The sequence below is a fragment of the Homo sapiens genome, chromosome 19 (genome assembly GCF_000001405.40).
Source record: "Homo sapiens chromosome 19, GRCh38.p14 Primary Assembly".
NCBI classification, from domain to species: domain Eukaryota; kingdom Metazoa; phylum Chordata; class Mammalia; order Primates; family Hominidae; genus Homo; species Homo sapiens.
In genome coordinates this window covers 43169575-43192696 of record NC_000019.10, presented here as the reverse complement: position 1 = coordinate 43192696, position 23122 = coordinate 43169575, and the positions used below count along the sequence as shown (strand labels likewise).

Genomic DNA, 23122 nt, shown 5'->3' with positions numbered 1-23122 from the left:
TTCTCTTAAAATAATTTTAAAAGAATGGGGTGGGCCCTCCCATGTGTCCAGGCCAGGTCTCTGAACAGAATCCTCCATCTGCAGTAACAATGCCTAAGAAGATGACATGGACTTGGTCCTGATATGCAGCCATTCCTGTATACCCTTCCCCTGCTGCAGGGCTGTACTAGCCCAGGGCCCAAATCTTCAGCTGCAGAGCTGAGAGAGAACATGGGATACCCAGCATCCCTTACCTTCTTCCAGTTCACTGCAGTGGCTACCGGCATGGCCCATTTATCCCTGAGGACACCCATCTGCTGACCCACAGTTTCTAAGAGTCAGACTTTCCTGGCTTCTCTGAGTCCCAGCTACTTTCACTCTGCTGAATCCTTCTTCTCCCCACAGGTGTCATTGACTTAGCAGACACCTCTTTCAGCTGCAGCTAACAGGTAAGCCAAGACCCAGACCCCAGAGAATAAACAAGGATTTCAAAACCTACTGTGTCCAACGGAGATGCCCACTTGTGGGCGGCAAGCCACCCAGGTGCCGAGGCAAGAGACCGAGGGCACGAGCTTTTCCAGTATAATAAAATATAAAAGGAGAATAGTTATACCAGATATAGATCTTAGATATGATTATATAGGAATATCATTAATCATTAGTTGGTAGCAATTACTCTTTATTCCAATATTATAATAATCCTCGCTCTATGATTATAACCTAGGAAAAGCCAGGTCATAAATAGATAGGAGCTGGGGAGACATAGTGAGAAGTGACCAGAAGACAAGATTGCGAGCCTTCTGTTATGCCCAGACAGGGCCACTAGAGGGCTCCTGGTCTAGTGGTAATACCAGCGTCTGGGAAGACACCTGTTGCCAAGTGGACCATGGACTAGAGGTACCCTCAGTGTCAAGGAAAAACACCCACTACTTAGCAGACCGGGAAAGGGAGTCTCCCTTTCCCCGGGGGAGTTTAGAGAAGACTCTACTTCTCCATCTCTTGTGGAGGGCCTGATGTTAGTGAGGTCCAACCACAGTTATCCGGAGGCCTAACCGTCTCCCTGTGATGCTGTGCTTCAGTGGTCACACTCCTAGTCTGCCTTCATGTTCCATCCTGTACAGCTGGCTCTGCTGTTTAGTTAGCAGTAGCAAATTAGTGAAAGTACTAAAAGTCTCTAATAAGCAGAAATAATGCTGTAAGCTCTTTCTCCTCTCTCTCTCTGCCTCAGCTGCCAAACAGAGAAGGGCCCCCTGTCCAGTGGACACGTGACCCATGTGGTCTCACCTATCATTGGAGATGGCTCACACTCCTTATCCTGCCCCTTTGTCTTGTATACAATAAATATCAGCGCAGCCTGGCATTCGTGGCCACTACCGTTCTCCACGTCTTGGTGGTAGTGGTTCCCTGGGCCCAATTGTCTTTTCTTTTATCTCTTTGTCTTGTGTCTTCATTTCTACAATCTCTCATCTCTGTACATGTGGAGAAAAACCCACCGACCCTGTGGGGCTGGTCCCTACACCCACTGTACAGAGACATAAATAAGTAGAGATGTATACAACTCCCCAACAACACGGTGTCCTAAAACAATGTTCCCTTCCCCCCTCATCGTGGAATTTACTGTCTCTCACCACATGGGCAAGTGCTTCCAGGGTCTCACAATTCTTCCACAAGAGGCAATGCACACTTTAACATAGCACTTCAGCAAATAAAGTGGTGACAGTTTACCTACTTAGAATAAGTTTCTTGAAGGTTCTCCCAAATTTCCCCCTGAAGAAGACAGAAAAGGCTTTCCCAATTGTGAAACACTGGCCTTCCCACCTTTCAAAAAGGACCACTGAATAGCCAAAACAATCTTGCCGAAATAAATTGTAGGACTTGAACTTTCTTATTTGAAAACTGACAAAGTAGTACAATTATTAAAACAGAAGCTGCTGGCAAAAGATAGACATAAAGACAAATGGGATAGAATTGAGAGTCTAGAAATAAACCCTGACACTTATGGTCAATTACTCTTTGAAGGAGGTATCAAGACAATTTAATGGAGGAACAATTCTCCTTTCAAATGATAGTGCAGAAACAACTAGATAACCACATGCAAAACAGTTAATTTAGATAATTCTACCTCCCACGATATCAAACCATTCTCTAAAAAATTGATCACTGAGTTAAATATAAGACCTATAACCATAAAAACATCTTAAAATAAACATAGACGTAAGTATTGATGATCTCAAATGTGCAGTGGATTCTTAGATATGATACAAAAGCATGAGAAACAAGAAAAAAAGATAAATTGGGCTTTATCAAGATGTAAGCCTTTTGTACATCAAAGGAAATTATCAAGAAAATAATTAATAGGCACAGAATGAGAGAAAATATCTGCAAACCACATATAGGCAGTTTTCATGTCCAGATAATATCAAGAACTAGCTACAACTCAATAACAAAAGGACAAACCATCCAATTTATAAATGGGCAAAAGACTCAAATAGACATTTCTTCAAAGAAGATATACAAATAGTCAAGAAGGACATGAAAAGATACTCAACATCATTAGTCATTAGGAAAATACAACGTCAAAGCTACAATGAGACACCAATCACACCTACAAAACTGGCTACCATTCTTTTACAATGTTAAATAACAAGTAGCAGCATTATGTAGAATTTCGAATCCTCATATATTGCTGGTGAGAATATAAAAATGTACAGCCACTAGGAGAAACAGTTTTCCTGTTCCTCAAAAAGCTAATCATAGAATTCTCATTTGAAACAACATCCATTCCTAGGTATATACCCAAAAAATTAAATCCAGGGACTCAAACAGGTACTTGCATAGGAATGTTGATTGCAGCATTATTCACAAAAGATAAAATATGAAAACAATCCAAGTGTTCATCAACACATGAATAAATAAATATGGTGACACATACAACAGAATGTTAATCTGCCATAAAGAGGAATGAAGCTCTGACACCCGCTGGAACATGCATGGACTTTGGAAACATTATGCTAAGTGAAATATGTCAGAAACAAAATAACACCATTGTATAATTCCATTTATATGAACCATTAAGAATAGGCAAATTCATAGAGACAGAGTAGAGATGATCAAAGTCTAGGGTGGAACATACAGGGAGTTATTGTTTAAAAGATACAAAGTTTCAGTTTAAAATGATAAAAATTTTCTAGGAAAAATACTGGTGATGGTAATTTAACACTGTGTATGTGGTTAATTTCACTTGATTGTTTATTTTAAAGTGGTTAAAATAGCACATTATTCACAGAACTGTGAAAAATAGATTTCTATTATTTAATTCACCCAGGCTAAGGTGTTTGTTATGGCAGCTGAAGCCCATGAATACATCATCTGACCCAGTGTTTTCAATGAAAGGCATCAGTTTTCAATCAAGTTAGCTGGAAGCTCCTGTCCCCAGCAGAACCAGAGGCCCCAAAACAAGAGCTCCAGCAGGGGCTCAGCCAGCACAGGTCCCATAAGGCAGCCTCAATGTCAGGCCCTGGATGGCATGTGAGGCAACAGCAATACAACCACAATGTGAAATTGTAAGATTTTTACTACTTACAGACACTGGGGAGCACTTGGCACACCTGGAGACCACAGACACAGAGGTCAGTGAGCCCAGGCAGGGAGGAGAGAAGAGACCTGTAAGCGAATGGCTTTATTAAGTCCAGGGTGTTATCTGACAGGTTTCCAGCAGGGAGCTTTAATGGATGTGTTCAAAGCAAGCAGCAAACACTGGGACCAGGAGCTCACGCTGTGACTGAGAGGTGGTCACTTTAAATGTGAGGGCGAATGTCAGAATTATCAGTTTAAGGAAAGCAGCTGGAGAGACGGGAGCCCAGCACACCAAGCAGCAGAGATGCCTCTAAGATTTTATCTCTGGACACCAACTGGAGCCACCTGAACCAGATACAGTATTGAAAACTGCCATGGTGACCAAGCCCTGCCTCTGATTTGAGGCAAATAAACTTACACCTTATAAAAATGAATGCCAAGGCAACATGACACTATGAGCATCATGACATCCAGGGACACCAGCAGGGTGTGGTACTGTGCCCTGGAGTCAGAATCCTGGGTTCTGGTCCCTGGGAGTGAGAAAATGAAAATGACTTGTCCCTGCCCCCCTGATATTGGTCTTCCCATCCTGCTGCTCCCTCTTCTGCTCCCAAGCCCAACTGCAGTGCTCAGCCCCAGACATCACTGCCCCCAGGGTATACACAGTGCTGCCTACTGCACACAAACACAAACTCACAGAAGGTGACAAAAATCTGCATTTGGGACATCTGATTGTGAAAGAGGGAGAACAGTGAACGTAGAGCCACACAGACTGGGACTCACGGGGCTGGAAGGTGAAGGAGCTGTAACATAACGTAAGTGTGACCTCGTGTGAAGTGTGCAGATCCATGTGGAATAAAACATGCAGCCTGGCCTGGGATTGCTGCCGTTCACACTTCCCTCCCTGTCCACCAGAGGACGACAGAGTCCCTCCCAGCCTGGAGCCTTCCCAGGGGATGCCAACGTCCCTCATTAGAACCCACAGCCCAGAAGGGTCCACCCTCACCAGGGTCAATTCGGCCCAAGTCCTCAGCGCCCTCCATGCTCCCCACATGGACTCTGTCAGCTCCTCTCTGACCTGGCGGCCGCCAACCTAACACCACTCCCTCTGTAGGTAGCTCCAGCCCCACACACCTGCTCCTTCCCTGGGCCCAGCTAAAGGCATCTCCCAGGGCAGCGCTGGTGCACGCGACGCCACGCTGAGCTCTTTCCCCTCGTGACCTCCCTCCATCCTCATCAACTCTTTCTGTCACTGCTCCCTAAATGCCCGCCCCTGCTCCATCTGTCCTGTTCTCTGGGGCATCCCAGGCCAAGCCTAGTGTTGACACAGAACAGTGGCTGCCTGAGGGCCCACAGCCTCCCCGGGAATAAGCCAGGCACCCTGTGTCCTGCCTGCCTGCTGCAGCCCAGGGGGCGCAGAGAGCGTGTGATGGTCACACACAGGCACCATCCGGGATGTGGCCACCTGCCACCAGCTGTCCCTTGGGAAGACAGACCTCTCTTGTGTGCTTGCGGGGAGATGAGGGGTGTTATTGCTCTTTGCTCTCAGAACACAACTCACCCCCACCCGCCCTCTCAGGTGTGAGCAACGTCCCTCCAGACAGGATCTCTGGCCAATGCCTGTTCCTCCTCTACAGAGAGCAGCTTGGCCAGGTCAAAACCCTCAGGACAGACCCCTGGGTATGTCAGCACATGGAGGGCTGAGCCCATCATGGCCACGGAGTAAGTCGGGATGAATCTCTCCAGCTCTGAACCCCTGCTCTGTCCCAGGCTCCCCCTCCTGCGTCTCAACGAGCCATGTCCCGCGGGGTTCCTGGGTAACTCCCCACTTCCTCCTGCACCACAACGGGGAAGGTGTGGTGACCCCAGGACAGTCAGCTGGGCAGAGAAGAGAGGACATCAAAGATGGTCAGGGAGAACATGAGAAACCCTGAGCTCCAGCTCAGCTGCCAGACCCCAGGGAGCCATAGAGTGATGAAGAACTGTCCTCTTGACTCTGGGACTCACAGCCCCCACTGAGCAACCAGCACAGGCCTCTCCTCCCAAGAGGCATGAGAGATTCACCCTGCACACCTCCAGGAAGGACAGTTTCCTCTGGGACACCCAGGTCCTGAAGGTCCATCCTTGGAAGCTGCAGCCAAGCTAGACACGATTAGAGAAAGGAAGGGTCCCTCTCACCAGGCAACACACAGCTCACCCACAGCACAATGGGGTGTCACTGTGACAGGGACCCGTTGCAGCTTCAGCCTCCTGCACTGAAGGGGAGAGCCAGATGGGGATGAAAGAGGGCAAAGGGCGTGAATGTGCATCCCGACCCAGAGCCATGGGGACAGCAGGAGGCTGAGGCCCAGGACTCTGCTTGCCCAACCTGCGGGGTATGTGTGTGACTGTGTGGGTCTGTGTGTGTCTCTTCTGTGTGTGTGTGTCTGCACAAAGTGTGGTTGAGGTTTGGTGAAAGAATCACTGCTGAAAAATGCAGAGGCCTCCACAATTCCCAGGGACCTGAAACACAGACAAAAGGAAAAACAGAAGGAGGGACAAGGAGGCAGGACTGAGAGAGGAGGGGACAGAGAGGTGTCCTGGGCCTGACCCCACCCATGAGCCTGAGAAGTGCTCCTGCCCTGGAGAGAGGCTCAGCACAGAAGGAGGAAGGACAGCACAGCCTACAGCCGTGCTCAGGAAGTTTCTGGATCCTAGGCTCAGCTCCACAGAGGAGAACACGCAGGCGCAGAGACCATGGGGCCCCTCTCAGCCCCTCCCTGCACACAGCACATCACCTGGAAGGGGCTCCTGCTCACAGGTGAGGAGAGAACTTCCTGGGAGAGGACAGGAGGAGGAAGAAGAGTGACTGGATTGGGTCTCCTGGAGAGGATGGGGTTCTAAAAAATAAAAGAAGCCAGCACTTTGGGAGGATGAGGTGGGTGGATTATGAGATCAGGAGTTCAAGGTCAGTCCTGCCAACACAGTGAAGCCCTGTCTCTACTAAAAATACAAAAAATTAACCAGGTATGGTGGTGTGCTCTTGGAATCCTAGCTACTCTGGAGGCTGAGGCAGGAAAATCACATGAACCCGGGAGGCAGAAGTTGCAGCGAGCCGAGATAGCACCACTGCACGCCAGCCTGGGTGACAGTACGAGACTCTGTCTCAAAAAAATAAAAAGAAAAAAAAGAAAAAAGAAAAAAAAGGAAAGAAGTCTCTGTTGGAGCCTGGATAGGGTAAAATACACCAGAGAGGGACAGAGGTCAAAACTGGAAAGTCATATTGAACCGGAATTGGTAAGAGGGCCACGACATTTTGAAAAATGATAATAATAACTATATCAGATGACACTTCTAATAAAAGTATAAGCAGGACATGAAACACTGTCCTCAGCAAAATCCTCAACAATTGGGGGAAAATAAAACACCAAGGGTGTGGAGGGCCCTGAGAACTCTCACATCTGCAGGAGTCTGCAGCCTGTTCCAGGCACTGGGGTGCAACCAAGATCACAAAAGTCCCTGTCCTCACAGAGCTCACGCTGTCATGGGGAGGAAGACAGACATGCAAAGAGATCTAGAATGTGAGGTCAGGTGTTGACAAGAACCCTGGAGGGAGCAGAGCAGGGAAAGGTCAGAAAGGGAAGACCCAGGGTCTCTGAAGGACGTGTCAGGAAAGAAGTCTAAGGATGCCCTGATGTGAGCAGGACCTGAGGGCAGTGTGGGGGGGGGGGGGTGCCGTGTGGACCCCTGGGGAAGAGGATTCCATACAAAAATGCCAAGGTCAGAAGTGTTGAAGGAATAGGGGTCACGCTGCTGACCTTGACCTAGTAGGACAGTAGGACACACACACATACACACACACAAACTAACATGCACCTTTTGTGTGTGTGTGTGTTTGTGTGTGTGTGTGTCTTCAAGGCTGAGGATTGAAGAGACCTTCTCAGGACCCAGGGCTCCATCTTTTCACCCCAATACACAGGTCTCAATATTGACTGGTGCTTTCTCCACCTCCTAGCATCACTTTTAAACTTCTGGAACCTGCCTATCACTGCTCAAGTCACGATTGAAGCCCTGCCACCCAAAGTTTCCGAGGGGAAGGATGTTCTTCTACTTGTCCACAATTTGCCTCAGAATCTTGCTGGCTACATCTGGTACAAAGGACAACTGATGGACCTCTACCATTACATTACATCATATGTAGTAGACGGTCAAATAAATATATATGGGCCTGCATACACTGGACGAGAAACAGTATATTCCAATGCATCCCTGCTGATCCAGAATGTCACCCGGGAAGACGCAGGATCCTACACCTTACACATCATAAAGCGAGGTGATAGGACTAGAGGAGTAACTGGATATTTCACCTTCAACTTATACCGTGAGTGATTCCACATGATCCCTGGGTGTTGGGGGACAGGGGTCATTTCTACTTCACACACACAGGATTGTCAGGCCTGCACTGTGCCTGTGTCCCTCTCTGCATTATGTCCCATGCTGCGGTTTGGGCATTTAGTGCAGGACACACACAGAGGAGACAAATTTCAACAGATCAGAATTCCTTTCCCGCATCCAGACCCTGCAGACACTCGCTGCAGAGGAAGGACAGTCTGATGGGGGGACTCAGCAGGAGGAGATCAGTCTCAGCCAAGCACCTCATGCCCTCTTCATAAATTTGACCCTGAGAAAGACCCTGGAGAACTGAGTAGGGCTTTGGCCTGAGGGGCCCCCTGAGACCCTCAGAGAAGCTCAGCCCTAGAAGCCTCAACCCCAGACCTCTGTCCCTAAATCCTTGCTCCAGTTAAGCTGAGGAGCCTGTGCCAGTGCTGGGTTGTGGCTTATTGGGCAGGCCTTACTGGGACCAAGAATTTACCAGCTGTCTGAGGACTGTGTCTCCTGGAGCTGCTCACCAGCCAGGGCTCAGCCCTCAGAGCCTCATCTGGGCAAAGACAGAGCTTTCTTCACCTGACACTCAGAGTGGAGAGGACAGAAAGACAAGCTTTGTAGGACATCAGCCAACTGCTTTAGGAGGCTTAGGACAGTCCATAGAAAGTCTAATGTCCCCAGAAGCATAAACAGAAGGGAGAAGATGTACCTGGTAGCAGCTTGTCCACAGGGATCTGACGTAAAGGTGCTTTCTCATGGAAGCAAATTAATAATAAATGCTGTTTGTGTGAAACCTCCACTGTGCCAAGCATTAGGTCAGGTGACTGAATCATTTAACATTTATTCACAGTAGCATGAAAATCCACAGTCCATTTGCCACTTAGCTTATTTGATTGAGAGAAAACTGAGGCACAGGAAGGCACAGTCACTGAACCAGAGTCACACAAACCCAAAGGGGGAGATCAGGGTCACATGAGGTCTGTCTGCAGCCACAGGCCCATCTTCTCCACCAGAAGTGAGGGCTTACTGGGTTCCAAGGACCCCATAGTCATTTATTGGCTCAAATCCTCTCTTCTTAGGCTTCTAAACCTCAGAGGAGTGAGAGCAAATGGTCAGCTGATTAGTCTGCACTCCAGAACTAAATCAACTGCCTCAACCGTCAGAGTCAGTGCAAAAAATATGTCCAGGCCTCCCCCTCAGATCTTAACCCCCATCACTGAACCTGAAATCCTGTGTTTCCCAAAGTGCCCATGTCACTGTCATGAAAGGATCAAGGAGAGGACTTTGTTTTCTTTCCCCACTCAGACCCTGCTCCAGCACAGGCCCAGCGAGAGACACACACTCAGGAGCTCTCACATAACAAATGAAGGAATGGAATGAAGAAATGAATGATCCAAAACCTCTTTAGAGACTGGATGTTGGATGCAGAATCCTAGGAGGTTCTAGCCACACCTGTCCCTTGTCCTTCAGAGGCTGACATCCATGTTTCATCCCCCCACTACCTCTTGCCCCTAAAGCCACCCCACCTCATGCAACTCTGAAGCTCTTTGGCCACCAGAGGATTCTCAGGGCTCCTTTGTCCTGGACTGTGGAACTGGGGGCAGCTGGTCCCTGGGGTCTCTGAAGTCAGTGTCTCCCTCACTGCTCACTGCCATGGTGTCTCTGCCTCTGCTTCTCTGTGTCCCTCATCTTCCTCCCACTTCATTCTGACTGGCAAGCCCTGTCCTGCACAGCTTCTTCCCCCACCCCTAGGCCTTCCCCAGACACTCCCTCTAACTAGGCTGGCTGTTCTGTTCCCTTCCCGCTAACACTGTGGCCTGGCCCACCTCCCAGGAAATAGGAAAGGTGCAGAAATCACCTGGAGTTGCCACTCCTGCCAGGCTTCATCTCGAGCCAATGTTCCCAGGTCACTAAGAGAATGAGCTTCCACTGTATTCCCATCCAGGGCTCTTTCCCTTTGTGAGGCTGACCTGTGGACAAGACAATGGGACAGGGATAGGCAGTTCCTCCATCCATTCATAATTGCCAGGCAAGATCTTCTGGCCTCCTGCACAAAAAAAAAAAAAAAAAATTATTGAAATGTTGGTTTCTAGTCAAGAAAGATTTTAACGACTCCAAGTCTGCCAAACAGGAGGACAGAGGTTTATTATTACTCAAATCAGCCTCCCCAGTGGATCAGGGGTTAGAGATTTTCAAGGATAGTTTCAGGGGCACAGGACTAAAAAATGAGTACTGCTGATTATTTGGTGATGGAATCATGTGGGCAGAGGGAAATGATCTGTTTGTGCTCGAATCTGCCTCCAGGTAGGGACCACATGACTGGCTGAGCCATTAGTCATAGGTATGAATGAGGTCAGCCGGTTGCCAGAATGCAAAAGAATGAGAAACATCTCAAAAGACCAATCTCATGTTCTACAATAGTGATGTTATCTATAGGAGCAATTAGTTACAAATTTTGTAAACTCTGGCCAAACAACATTGCAGCAGTCAGGAATTATAGAAACTGTGCCAACATTTTAGCAGAATTCAGTTCCCTCCTATAATCTTAATCTCATGGTCTTTCACTAGTTTGACAAAGGCCATCCCTGGGCAAAGTAAGGTTGTTAGTTTCATGGAGGAAGTTTTGTGATTCTTGCTTCAAAGTCAAACCATAAATTAAATTCCTCCCAAGGTTAGCCTGGCCTATGCCCAGGAATGAGTGAGGATAGCCAGCCAGAGACTAGATGCCAGATGGAGTCAGACATGCTACTTTGCTGTCACTGTTGTAATGTATGGACTGACTCACCAGGGTGTCAGAGGCTGGACAGGCCTGCAGTCCCCAATGCCCATGGACTCATTTCAACTGTTTCACTCGTGACTCCATCCTCAAACTACTATGGAGCTCACATTCTCCTGTCACTTCTTAGAGACTTCTGGCTTCCTGTCAGGCATATAACAAGCTTGAAATTTGTCACTCGGTTCTAACAGTAAGTAAAAAGTTGAACAAACTCAAAAGTCAACAACTCATTAAAATCCCTCAGAGATGGCTGGGCACAGTGGCTCATGCCTATAATCCCAGGACTTTGGGAGGCCGAGGCGGGCACAAGGTCAGAAGATGGAGACCATCCTGGCTAACATGTTGAAACTCCGTCTCTACTAAAAATACAAAAAATTAGCTGGGCGTGGTGGCGGATGCCTGTAGTCCCAGCTACTTGGTAGGCTGAGCCAGGAGAATGCCGTGAGCCCAGGAGGTGGAGCTTGCAGTGAGCTGAGATCATGCCACTGCACTCCAGCCTGGGTGAAAGAGAGAGACTCTGTCTCAGAAAAAAAAATGCTGTTAGAGAAATGAAGAATGCTTTTGATGCTTACTGGTAGACTGCACACAGCTGGGGAAAGAATCTCTGGCTTGAGGATGTGTCAATAGAAACTTCCAAAACTGAAAAAGGAAAGTTCAATAAGAGTGGGGGAAAAAAAGTGGAACAACACATTCAACTTCACATTTAATATTTTGTTTTGGCAATAGCAATTTTTAAATTTTGTAGTTGTGGACAACTGCAAAGGCTGTCAGATACACGTAATGTGAATATTGGTGGTTTTGGGGACCAGTTGGAGGTGGCCAGGTGTGTGCTATCTAATGGTTTTACTGCCTGTGCCACATAAAACTGTTTCCTCATGATGATGCCATTTTCATAAGTTGGAGTTCTACGTGTGGGGAGACACACGAGCCATTGGCATCTCACTTAGATTCTTCCTAATTCACACAAACTTAAACTTTAGTGGTGTTTCGTGAGCTTAAGAGAAAATGAAGAAAGCATTTCACATACCTGTTTTGGGGTCCTCCCCATTTTTCCTAACTCTGCACAGAAATTAGAAGCAGGGAGTTCTTTCTATATTTACTAACATAACACACATCACTTCTTTTAATTTGGCATCCTTCCTCCCTTTATGTAATTGACGCACTGACCAGTTCTGTCCTTTTAACGGGACTCTCTACTTAAGGAGCTGCTAATTTCAAATCACCTTTGGCGTCTTTCTTTGAGCATAATGTGATCCTGCTGGAATTCACGGCACACCTAAACCTTATTTTGGTCTCAAGAGAAATACTACTACCAGCAATTGATCTTAGATGTTTGGATCATCAGTAAAAATTTCCACTTATGAAAACATTTTAATGTTTCCTCCAAATTTTTTTTGTTACTAGAGTCAGAACATAACATGAGGTCTAAACTCCTGACAACTTTTTATGGGAAAATTACAGTATTACGAATTGAGCATCGGAAATCCAGAAATCCACAATCTGAAATGCTCCAAAACTCAACCCTTCTGACCACTGATGTGATGTTAAAAAGAAGTGCTCACTGGCGCATTGTGGATTTTAAATTTTTCAGATTTGGGATGCTAAACCAGTACATGTACTGCAAATATTCCAAAATTAAAAAAATTAGAAATCCAAAACACTTTGTTTTAAGCTTTCTGCATAAGGAGCACTGTATCTGCATGAAGTATAGGCACGAGGCTGCACAGGAGATCTCTAGAACCTCCTCATCCTGCATAACTGAAACCGCACACCCATGGAACAACACCCTATTCCCCTGATCCCAGCTCCTGCAAACTACTATTCTACTCTCTGATTCACTCTGGAATCCACTGATATGAGGTACATAGAGTAGTCAAACTCAGAATCAGAGAGTAGAATGTCTAATGAGAGAAAGTATCTGCAAGACTTCTTCCCAAATATTGGTCTAATATCCACCAAACACATATGGTCCATGAGGGCCAGACTTCCATCATCAGTTCATGATTACCCTTTCCAACAGTCAGTGCTGCATTTGCAAACATCCACATGTATTTCTAGAAGATCCACATGGTCCTCACCTGCCCTCTACAAGGGGAAGGAAGCATCATGGACCCAGAACAGGGAACAATGGTCTTGGTCCAAAGCTATCAGCTCTTGCCTGTCCCCTTCACTCTTTGTAGGTCATTCCTTGGACTCTGCTCTATCTTTAGAAGTCACTGGCTCAAGTCAGTCACTATGAGACACCTGGGAAAACTGCGCCACCTTGTGGCTCCACTGCCTGATGACTGAACTGACCTCCAGGCTTGACTCTGGTCTCCCCTGTGTTATTTATGCTGAAGTACCCAGTCCCAGGCCAGGCTTTCCAGTACCCAAAGGGTTTAAGGACAATGGGAAGTTCCATCATCCATCTCTAGGATGTCCTTGGCAAGGGAAGCTGCAGAGAAAACATACCTCGGGGGACAAAGTAAGACTGAAACTAAGAAGATTCCAGCACTGCATACTCCAAGTGAGGACCACAAGGTGGGTCAGGCAGGCAGTTTTAGTCGGAGGAACTCAGAGAGGCATCGGGTCTGTGACTGCTGGTCCTGTGTCTTTCCATGACCCAATGCTGCTGCTCAATTCACACTTGAGAAAGCCTGTACTTCTCCCACATAAAGCAGGCAGCCTCACAATCTCTGAGCTCTCAGATTGCCATGCATCTGTCTTGTAACACACACACCTGCCATGGGCTTTTAAGGACTTGGGTGGGCTGACAGGTGGGAAATGCCAACTCTGATTGAAAAGTGCCTTTGGAGGAATCAAAGGTGCCACACAGGGCAATCTTCTCTCTGTTTTCTGCAAAGTGGAAACTCCCAAGCCCTCCATCTCCAGTAGCAACTTAAACCCCAGGGAGGCCATGGAGGCTGTGATCTTAACCTGTGATCCTGCGGCTTCAGACACAAGCTACCTGTGGTGGATGAATGGTCAGAGCCTCCCTATGACTCACAGGTTGCAGCTGTCCAAAACCAACAGGACCCTCTTTATATTTGGTGTCACAAAGTATATTGCAGGACCCTATGAATGTGAAATACGGAACCCAGTGAGTGCCAGCCACAGTGACCCAGTCACCCTGAATCTCCTCCGTGAGTATCCTCTGTTCCTCTGTGAGCCAGGCTGCCATCCCAAATACACATGGCCAGAGGCCAGGCCTCTCAGTCCCTCTCAGGTCCAAGTACAGAGACCTTTACCCCTGGACATCAAAGCTGGCCATGACTTTCTGCCCCAGGCAAAACAGAGTAGGCCTAGGCTTGATCCACAATAGGAGAAAAGAGGCTGCTCCTGTCATGGGAGACTCAGGTTCCACAGCTTGTGATGGGAGAAACAGGTGAATGTCTCAGGCTCCAGATCAGTGAACACAGCGGGGATTTGGCTGGGACTTCAGTGTTGCGACTTGGCTCACAGGGTCACTGTGGCCCTTCCACAGACCAGGATTTTCCCTTCCCTCTGACAATGTCACCTGTGACTTTATTCTCTTTGCTCCAGATGGCCTGGATGCCCCCACCATTTCTTCCTCATACACCTATTACCATACAGGGGAAGTCCCCAATCTCTCCTGCCTCACAGACTCTCACCCACTGGCAGAGCATTCTTGGCTGATTGATGGGAAGTTCCAGCAATCAGCACAAGTGTGCTTTATTCCCCAAATCACCAAAACATAGAGGGATCTATGTCTGTTTCATCCATAACTCAGCCACTGATGGAACAAATCTCATAATCAAGAGGATCATAGTCCCTGGTAAGTGGATCCCTGGAGCATTGGCAATATGTTTTCCAGTGAAGTCTATCTAGCTATCAGGGAAGAGCCACCTGCCCTCTGCAAAGGGAGAGGGAAAATCAAAAACCCAGCACAGGGAGTATGTTTCTGCTCCAAAACCACCAGCTTTTGCCTTTCCCCTTCACTCTTTCTAGATCATTCTTTAGGCTATACACTAACAATGAACAATCTGAAAGGAAATTGAGAAAAGAATTTCAATTCACGTTAACATCAGAAGGAATAAAATATTTTGGAATAAGTTTAACCAAAAAGGTCAAATGATTATACCCTGAAAACTACAAAACATTGCTGAAAGAAATTAAAGATGATATCAATATATGGAAAGACATTTCATTTTCAAGGATTGGAAGAATCAATACTGTTAGAAAGACAATACTACCCAAAGCAAGTTGCAGATACAGTGCAACTCCTACCAGAATCCCAGTAACATTTTTTGCAGAATTAGAAAACTCTGTCTTAAATCTGACCTGACAGGCTCTTATTAATGACTGCCACAACACAAACACTGAGAAAAAGATGCAACCATGAAAATGTTTAAAGTTCTCATGACATAGAAGACAGCAATCAGCCTTTCTCACATCCAAAAGCCTTCAAAAATATATGAGTGCAGAATGGCCAGTGTGGAATTGACCAAAAACTAATCACCATGGTAGAAACGTGGTGAGATAAAAAAAAAAAAGGGCAGGAATATATTTGGCTTATCACCTCCCACTTTTGCCCACTAATCTGATGCTGAAAAGAAATGCTCACTGGAGCATTTTAGATTTTGAATCTTTCAGATTTGGGATGCTAAACCAGTAAGTATATGACAAATATTTCAGAATCAAAAAATGTCAGAAATCCAAAACACTTTTTGTCCTAAGTCTTATGCATAAGAAATACTCAATCTGTGTGAACTATAGGTATCAAGCTCGACAGCCAATCTCTATAACCTCCCCACCTTGCATAACTGAAACTGCACACCCATGAACAACTTCTGATTCTCCCCACTCCCAGCTCCTGGCAAACAGCAGTCTCTTCTCATATTCACTCTGGAATCCACTTACATGAGGTCCCTAGAGTAGTCGAATCCATGGAATCAGAGAGTAGAATGTCCAGTGAAAGAAAATATTCCCAAAACTTCTCTTCAAATTTGTCTCATATCCATCAAACACACATGGTCCATGAGGACCAGATTTCCAGCAGTTCATTCCCACCCTTTCTACCAATCAGTTCTGCATTTGCAAACATCCACATGTATTTCTGGAAAGATCCACATGGTCCTCACCTGCCCTCTGCAGAAGGAGAGGAAACTTAAAGAACCCAGGACAGGGAACATGGTTCTGCTCCAAAGCCACCAGCTCTTGCCTGTCCCCTTGACTCCTTCTAGATCATTCCTTGCACTCTGCTCTATCTTTAGAGGTCACTGGTTCAAGTAAGTCATCATGAAACACCTGCAAAACACTGCCCCACTTTCTGCCTCCACTGGCTGATGACTGAACTGACCTCCAGGCTTGACTCTGGTCTCTCCTGTGTTATTTCTGCTGAAACATCCAGTCCCAGGCCAGACTGCTCAGTATCTTCAGGGTTTCAGGACAATGGGAAGTCCCATTATTACTCATCTCTAGAATGTCCTTGGAAATGGGAGCTGCAGAGAAATCACATATAGGGGGACAAAGTAGGATGGAATTTGGAAGGGGCCCAGCAGTTGCACATTCCAGGTAAGGAACCCAGGGTGAGCCAGCCAGTCAACTGATTATGGAGGGACTGGGAGGGGTACCAGGGGCTGTGACTCCCACTGATGTGTCTGTTCATGACCCAACACTGCTGCTCAATTGACACTTGAGAAAGTCTGTGCTTCCCTAAAACAGAGCAGGTGGCCTCACAGTCTTTGAGCCCTTAGATCATCATGCATCTATCTTGTGACACATGCATCAGCTACTGGCTTTCAAGGACTCTGGTGGGTTGACAGGTGGGAGATGCCAACTCTGATTGAAGGATGCCTGTGGAGGAATCAAAGGTGCCACACAGGACAATCTTCTCTCTGTTATCCACACAGTGAAGCTGCCCAAGCCCTACATCACCATCAACAACTCAAAACCCAGGGAGAATAAGGATGTCTTAGCCTTCACCTGTGAACCTAAGAGTGAGAACTACACCTACATTTGGTGGCTAAATGGTCAGAGCCTCCCGGTCAGTCCCAGGGTAAAGCGACCCATTGAAAACAGGATCCTCATTCTACCCAGTGTCACGAGAAATGAAACAGGACCCTATGAATGTGAAATACGGGACCGAGATGGTGGCATGCGCAGTGACCCAGTCACCCTGAATGTCCTCTGTGAGTATCTTTTGTTCCTCTGTGGGCCAGGACACCAGCTTAAATCTAAATGACCACAAGCCAGTCCTCTCAGTCTTTCTCCGGTCCAAGTATAGACACCTTTATTTCTGGACATCTGAGCTGGCCATGACTCCCTGCCCTTGGAAAACCTAGGTAGGCACAGCCTTAACCAGGAATATAAGGGGAGGGGGCGCTCTTGTCATGGGAGACTTTGTGTCAATAGCTTGTGATGGGAGAAACAGGTGAATACCTCAGGCTTTGGCTCAGTGAATATAGTGGGGGTTCGGCTGGGACTTGAGGGTGTGTCTTGGCTCAGAGGGTCACTGTGTCCCTTTAAGAGACCAGGAGCATCCCCTTCCCTTGGATGACATCACCTGTGGCTTCATTCTCTTTGCTCCAGATGGTCCAGACCTCCCCAGCATTTACCCTTCATTCACCTATTACCGTTCAGGAGAAAACCTCTACTTGTCCTGCTTCGCGGAATCTAACCCACCGGCAGAGTATTTTTGGACAATTAATGGGAAGTTTCAGCAATCAGGACAAAAGCTCTCTATCCCCCAAATTACTACAAAGCATAGAGGGCTCTATACTTGCTCTGTTCGTAACTCAGCTACTGGCAAGGAAAGCTCCAAATCCATGACAGTCGAAGTCTCTGGTAAGTGGATCCCAGCATCCTTGGCAATAGGGTTTTAGGTGGAGTCTACCTGGCTTTCAGAGAAGAGTTAGGAAAACATTTTTATTCCCAGCCTGTGTCCCATGGGCACAAGCAAATCCCAAATTCTCCTCCTGAACCCTTCCAATTTGTCTCTACAAACTCTCTTCTCCTTGTTTTTCTGTTTTCTCATGGCTGACCTTGTGTCTGGCCTAAGAAAGTTAGGGAGGGGGCTTTATCAGCCCTGAGCCCTATGTGGTAGAGGAGGCTTCACAGAGGGATGAGAAGGAGAGTCCTCAAGATCAAGTTGCTTCTCGATGTCACCAACACATCCCCTTCTGCCATGTCTTTGTTTCCTTGTACCTATTCCATGAGCTACAAGGAACATCTGAGGCTCTGAAACAAGCTCACACTTTTCCCCCAAATGAGACGAGGAAGCCCCTTGGGTGAGGGAGGAGCAGCTCAGACTCTGCTTCCTGCTCTGCTCCATGCTTCTCTGGTGACTGGGCCTGCCTCACTCAACCTGGGGTGGGACCAGCATGTGTGGAGAAAGAGTCCTGGTGGCCTGTCCTGAATTTGGCTAAATCGAGCTGCCAGTTGAAGCCAAGCCTCCCCCGGGCCAGGCTGCAGGGAAATAAGAAGAGAGGGAGCCTCAGGGAAGACTCCTGCGTTGCGTCCTGGCTCTGAAGTCACCGGTTGTATGAGGTTGTGGGCACAGCATGTGGGACACAGCACGGAGGATAGTGACTGATGCAGAGCTGGAGAAATAGAGAGATTCACCCCTGGGGCTCTGCATGGCAGGAAAGGGGCAGTGCCAAAAAGTGTGTAATTATAGAGAGGGTAAGACTACCAGACACTTTATATATATCTAATATAAGACTTACCATTAACTATTTCTATGTGTGCAATTTAGTGTTGTGTAACCATCACACTATCCATTTCCAGAACTTTTTCCTCTTACCATATTAAACCTCTGTACCCAATAAACAGTAACTCACTCCTTCTCCCCATAACCCTTAGCACACACCATTCTACATTCTGTCTCTATGTAACTGGCTATTCTAACTATCTTTTATAAATGGAATTATATGATAATTATCCTTTTGTGTCTGGTTTATTTCAGTTAGCATAATATCTTTAAGGTTCATCCATTTTGCACGATGTATTGGAATTTTATTCCTTGTTAAGGTTGAATAACATTTTAATTGTAGATACACCTCATTTGCCTACCCACTTATCTTTCAATGGACTTTTCAGTTGTTTCCATTTTTTCGCTAGTGTGAGTAATGCTTCTCTGAACATCAGTGTACAAATATTTGTTCAATTTTTTTTCATTTCTATGGGGAGTTTGTCCAGAAGTGGAATTGCTGGATCAAATGGTAAGTTATTGTTTAATTTTTTGAGAAACAGCCACACCACTTTTTACAGTGGCTATAACATTTCCCATTCCCATCAGCAATGCACTAGAGCTCCAATTTTTCCATCTACTTGAAAACACCTGTTGTTTTGTGTTGCTGTCATTTTTGTTGTTTATCAAAGCCATCCTAAAGTGTGTGAGGTGGTGTAACATTGTGGTTTTGATTTGCATATCTCTAAGTATTCGTGATGCTGAGGAACTTTGCATGGGCTTATTGGATATTTGTATATCTTCCTTGGAGAAAACTCCATTTTAATCCTTTGTTCATTTTTTAATTGGGTTTTTGGATGTTTGCTGTTGTTGACTTGTAGCTTTTCATGTATTCTGGAAATTAATTTCTTATCACACATATAATTTGCAAATATTTTTATCATTTCATAGGTTGCCTTTTTACTTTCTTGATAATGTTCTTTGATATATAAAAGGTTTTGATTTTTGTGAAGTCCAATTAATCCATTTTATTTGTTGCCTATGCTTTTGTTGTTACAACCAAGAAATCATTGTGAAATCCAGTATCATGAAGCTTTTCTTCTAAGAGTTCTGTAGTTTTTACTCTTACATTTAGATCTTTGATCTATTGTGGGTTAATTTTTATGCATGGTGTTAGGTAAAGGTTCCACTCTCTTGCCCTTGGATATCCAGCTTTCCCAATATCATTTGGTGAGAACACTGTCCGTTCCCCATTGAATGATCTTGGAACACTCCATGAAAATCATTTGGCCATATATGCAAGCATTTCTTTCTGGGCTATGATATTTCATTAATTTCTATGTCCTCCTTTATGCCAGTACCACACTGTATTGATTACTAGGGCTTTGTAGTAAATGCTGAAATCAGGAAGTGTGAGTCCTCCAGCTTCATTCTTCCTCTTCAAAGCTATGTGTCTATTTAGAGTCATGAGATGCAATATAAATTTTAGGACAGATTTGTCTTTTTCTGCAAAAATGTCACTGAGATTCTGACAGGAATTTTATTGAATCTGCAGCTCACTTTGGGCAGCACTGTCCTCCTAACAATATTGAGTCTTCCAATTCATGAACACAAAATGTCTTTCAATTTATTGATGTCTTCTTTCATTTCTTTCAGCAATATTTTGTAGATTTCAGGTATAATTATTTCACCTCTTTGGTTAAACTTATTCCTAAATATTTTATTCTTTTTGATGTTAATATAAATTGAAATTATTTTTCTTAATTTCCCTTCAGATTGTTCATGTTTAGTGTATTGAAATACAACTGATGTTTGAATGTTGATTTTGTATTGTGCAACATTACTGAATTTATTAATTTTAATTGGTTTGTTCCACCTTTAGGATTTTCTACATATAAGTTCAAGTTATCTGTAAACAGAAAGAATTTTACTCCTTCCTTCCAATTTGAATGTCTTTTTTTCAATTCTTGCCTAATTTTTCTGACTAGACCTTTCAATACTATGTTGAATAAAAGTGTCAAAAGCAGGCATCCTTGTCTTGTTCCTGCTCATACAGGGAAAGCTTTCAGTCTTTCTCCGTTGAGTATGATGCTAGCATTGGGTTTTTCACATATTGCCTTTATGTTGAGGTGGTTTCCTTCTATTCTTAGGATGTTTTCATTATGAAAAAATATTGAATTTCATCAAATGCTTTTATTGATTCAATCTTATTACTGATTATAGTTCTATTCATATTTTTGTGTGTTTCTAGGAGTTTGTCTATTTCATCTAGGTTATCCAATTTATTTGCATAAAATTATTTATAGTACTTTCATAATCATTATTTTATTAGAATTGGTAGTAATCGCTTCATTTTTCTTTCTTTCTTTTTCTTTTTTTTTTTTTTTGAAGAGAGGGACGGGCTCTCACTATGTAGACCAGTCCAGGATGGAATACAGTGGTGTGATTATGGCTCACTGCAGCCTTAACCTCCTGGGCTCAAGCAATTCTCCTTCTTCAGCCTCCCAAGATGCTATGACTACAGGTTCATGTCAACATGCCCAGTTAATTGGTTTTTTATATTTTTGTAGAGACAGCATCTCCCCAGGTTACCCATGCTGGTCCAAACACCTGGTCTCAAGAAATCCTTCTGCTGTGACCTCCCAAAGTGCTAGGATTAAAACATGACCCACCATGCTCAGAGTCCATTTTCATTTCTGATTTGAGTAATTTTAAACTTTTCTCTTTTTTTCTTAGTCAATCTAGTTAATGGTTGTCAATTTTGTTGATTTTATTTTGAAGAATCAACTTTTGGTTTCATTAATTTCCTCTATTCTTTTTCCATTCTCCATTTTATTTATGTCCACTCTAATCCTTATTATTTCCCTCATTCACTGTGCTTGGGTTTAGTTTGTTCTTCTTTCATATCCTGAAGTATTAAAGTAGGTTGTTGACCTGAGATCTTTCTTCTTTTTTAATGTAAGAGTTTACAGTTATAAATTTCTTGCACAAGACTCAACTTCTCTGAACCTCTGATTCCTCACCTGAAAATTGCAATGAGAGTGCTTTCTTCATACCATTCTTTTAAATGTTTAATGCAATCAATGAAACAAGATGCCACACAGAGGAGCCAATGTCAGCTGCTATATTACTACCATCATCATTAGCCTTGAGGTCAAATAGTCCTAGAATCAAATTTCAGATCCACCTGTCACTAGCCATATGACACCAGGAAAGTTTTTACACCATGATAAGCTTCTGTCTTTTCATCAGCAAAGTGGAAATAATTTCTACCTGACAGGGTTATTGTGTGGATTAAATGAGATACAGGTAAAGTATTTAGCACAGGGCCTGGCACATAGGAAATGCCCCTCAACAGTACCTACCTTTTTCCATATATATGGAAAAAGAGGTAACACATAAAACACTAGGACATGGTTACTGACTACTTGTGGGAGAGAAGGAAAAAAAGCTAAGTGCAAAGAATCAAGCCTGATATGTTAGTTTTTACCAACTGAGATGCACCCAAGATGGGATTAGACATACAAGATAATTTATCAGGGAGGACACCTGTGAGGGAATGTGGGGCAGACATGAAGGCAGTATGGGAGAACCCACAGACCACTATGCAGAGCTGATTCCTGTGAAAAAGAAAGAGAAAGAAGTTTTAGGTACCAATGCAGTTCTAAGAGTTTTTGCAAGGCTGAGGGGGAGTCCTCCAACCAGTCACCCTTTAGAGTTAAAGAGAGCCTCAGAGAACTAGGCTTGCTTTCACGCCCTTCCTGGGAGCCTGTGGGAAAGAAGCTTTCTGTGCAAAGGAGGTGATGAATGTGAAATGCACGGACGTGGGCCTTCTGTCAATCAGCTCCCTGCCATGGAGACCTGACAGAGTCTCATTCATGGCTGCCACAACAGAGAGACTGAGAAAAAGATGCAACCATGAAAAGGTGAAAAGGTGGTAAGTTCTAATGACATAGAAAATAGCAATCAGCCTTTCTTATGTCTGAAAGCCTTCCAAAATATCTGAGTGCAGTAGAGATTTGACAGAGGACTGATCACCATCCTAGAAACATGGTGAGAGGGAAAAAAAAAACTGCAAGAATATAATCATCTCCCATCAATTTCCCAAGAGGAATAATGTAGTACTTGAAGAAACAATTATAGAGTACCTCATGCTACATGCCTCTTCCTGAGGCTCCCCCATGTAAAATAACATCACCTTCATTCCTTCTTTACTTTTCTTTCCATGACAGCTCCTTCAGGAATAGGACGTCTTCCTCTCCTTAATCCAATATAGCAGCCGTGAAGTCATTTCTGTATTTCAGGAAGACTGGCAGGTATGATGGCCTTTTCTCTTATCCTGGTTCCTGCAGGGCTGACTGCCATGCTTGGGAGAGGGAAAAGACTTATTTGCTTGTATCTGGGACTGCATCTCCTCCTTCCTCCACTAAACTCCTGCTTCTCAGAACTAATTCCTGCAGTTCCCTTTCTCCCTGGCCTTTATGCTCCCTGTACCCCACTGTCTTTTAGACATAATTATCTCCAGCCTCTGCTCATTTGTTTCTCAGATTCAAATGAGAAACACAATTTCACATGGTGAAACCCTCTTCATTATTTTTAACATCTCTCAATAGTGTAATTCTCTACACTCCCATAAAGCTCAACCACTTCTCAAAGTATTGCTTGACTTCTTGTGGCCAGACTTTGAAACCTTCCTTGCATATGACTGCCTCATTACCTTTCTAAAATCTAGTTAATTCACTTAATCAAGAATCTGCAGGGGTCTACTCTAGCCTATTTGATAAGTTCACATTTCT

At 44.9% G+C, this 23122-nt stretch overlaps 1 protein-coding gene, 1 long non-coding RNA gene and 1 pseudogene across 7 annotated transcripts in view; 2 read left to right on the top strand and 1 right to left on the bottom strand.

Moving 5' to 3' along the window:
* Positions 1–6160: 6160 nt before the first annotated feature.
* The window catches only part of PSG5 (pregnancy specific beta-1-glycoprotein 5), an 18794-nt gene continuing 1832 nt past the window's right edge, over positions 6161–23122 (top strand). For 3 of the 4 annotated variants that reach the window (NM_001130014.2, XM_017027003.2, NM_002781.4), the window contains exons 1-5: positions 6161–6355; positions 7550–7915; positions 16549–16827; positions 17228–17482; positions 22559–22642. In NM_001130014.2, coding sequence (NP_001123486.1) covers positions 6292–6355; positions 7550–7915; positions 16549–16827; positions 17228–17482; positions 22559–22602 — 1008 coding nt within the window. In that variant the 5' untranslated portion in view covers positions 6161–6291 and the 3' untranslated portion in view covers positions 22603–22642. Of the gene's footprint in view, positions 6356–7549; positions 7916–12100; positions 12830–16548; positions 16828–17227; positions 17483–22558; positions 22643–23122 lie in introns of those variants that run through there. The other variant, XM_011527132.4, reaches the window with a different exon arrangement.
* Positions 13540–13821, top strand: LOC100421300 (pregnancy specific beta-1-glycoprotein 9 pseudogene; annotated as a pseudogene).
* Positions 14862–23122, bottom strand: part of PSG11-AS1 (PSG11, PSG2 and PSG5 antisense RNA 1) — a 23021-nt gene continuing 14760 nt past the window's right edge. For 2 of the 3 annotated variants that reach the window (XR_001754099.3, XR_001754100.3), the window contains one exon: positions 21142–22692. This is a non-coding gene — a long non-coding RNA (PSG11, PSG2 and PSG5 antisense RNA 1). Of the gene's footprint in view, positions 16138–21141; positions 22693–23122 lie in introns of those variants that run through there. The other variant, XR_007067262.1, reaches the window with a different exon arrangement.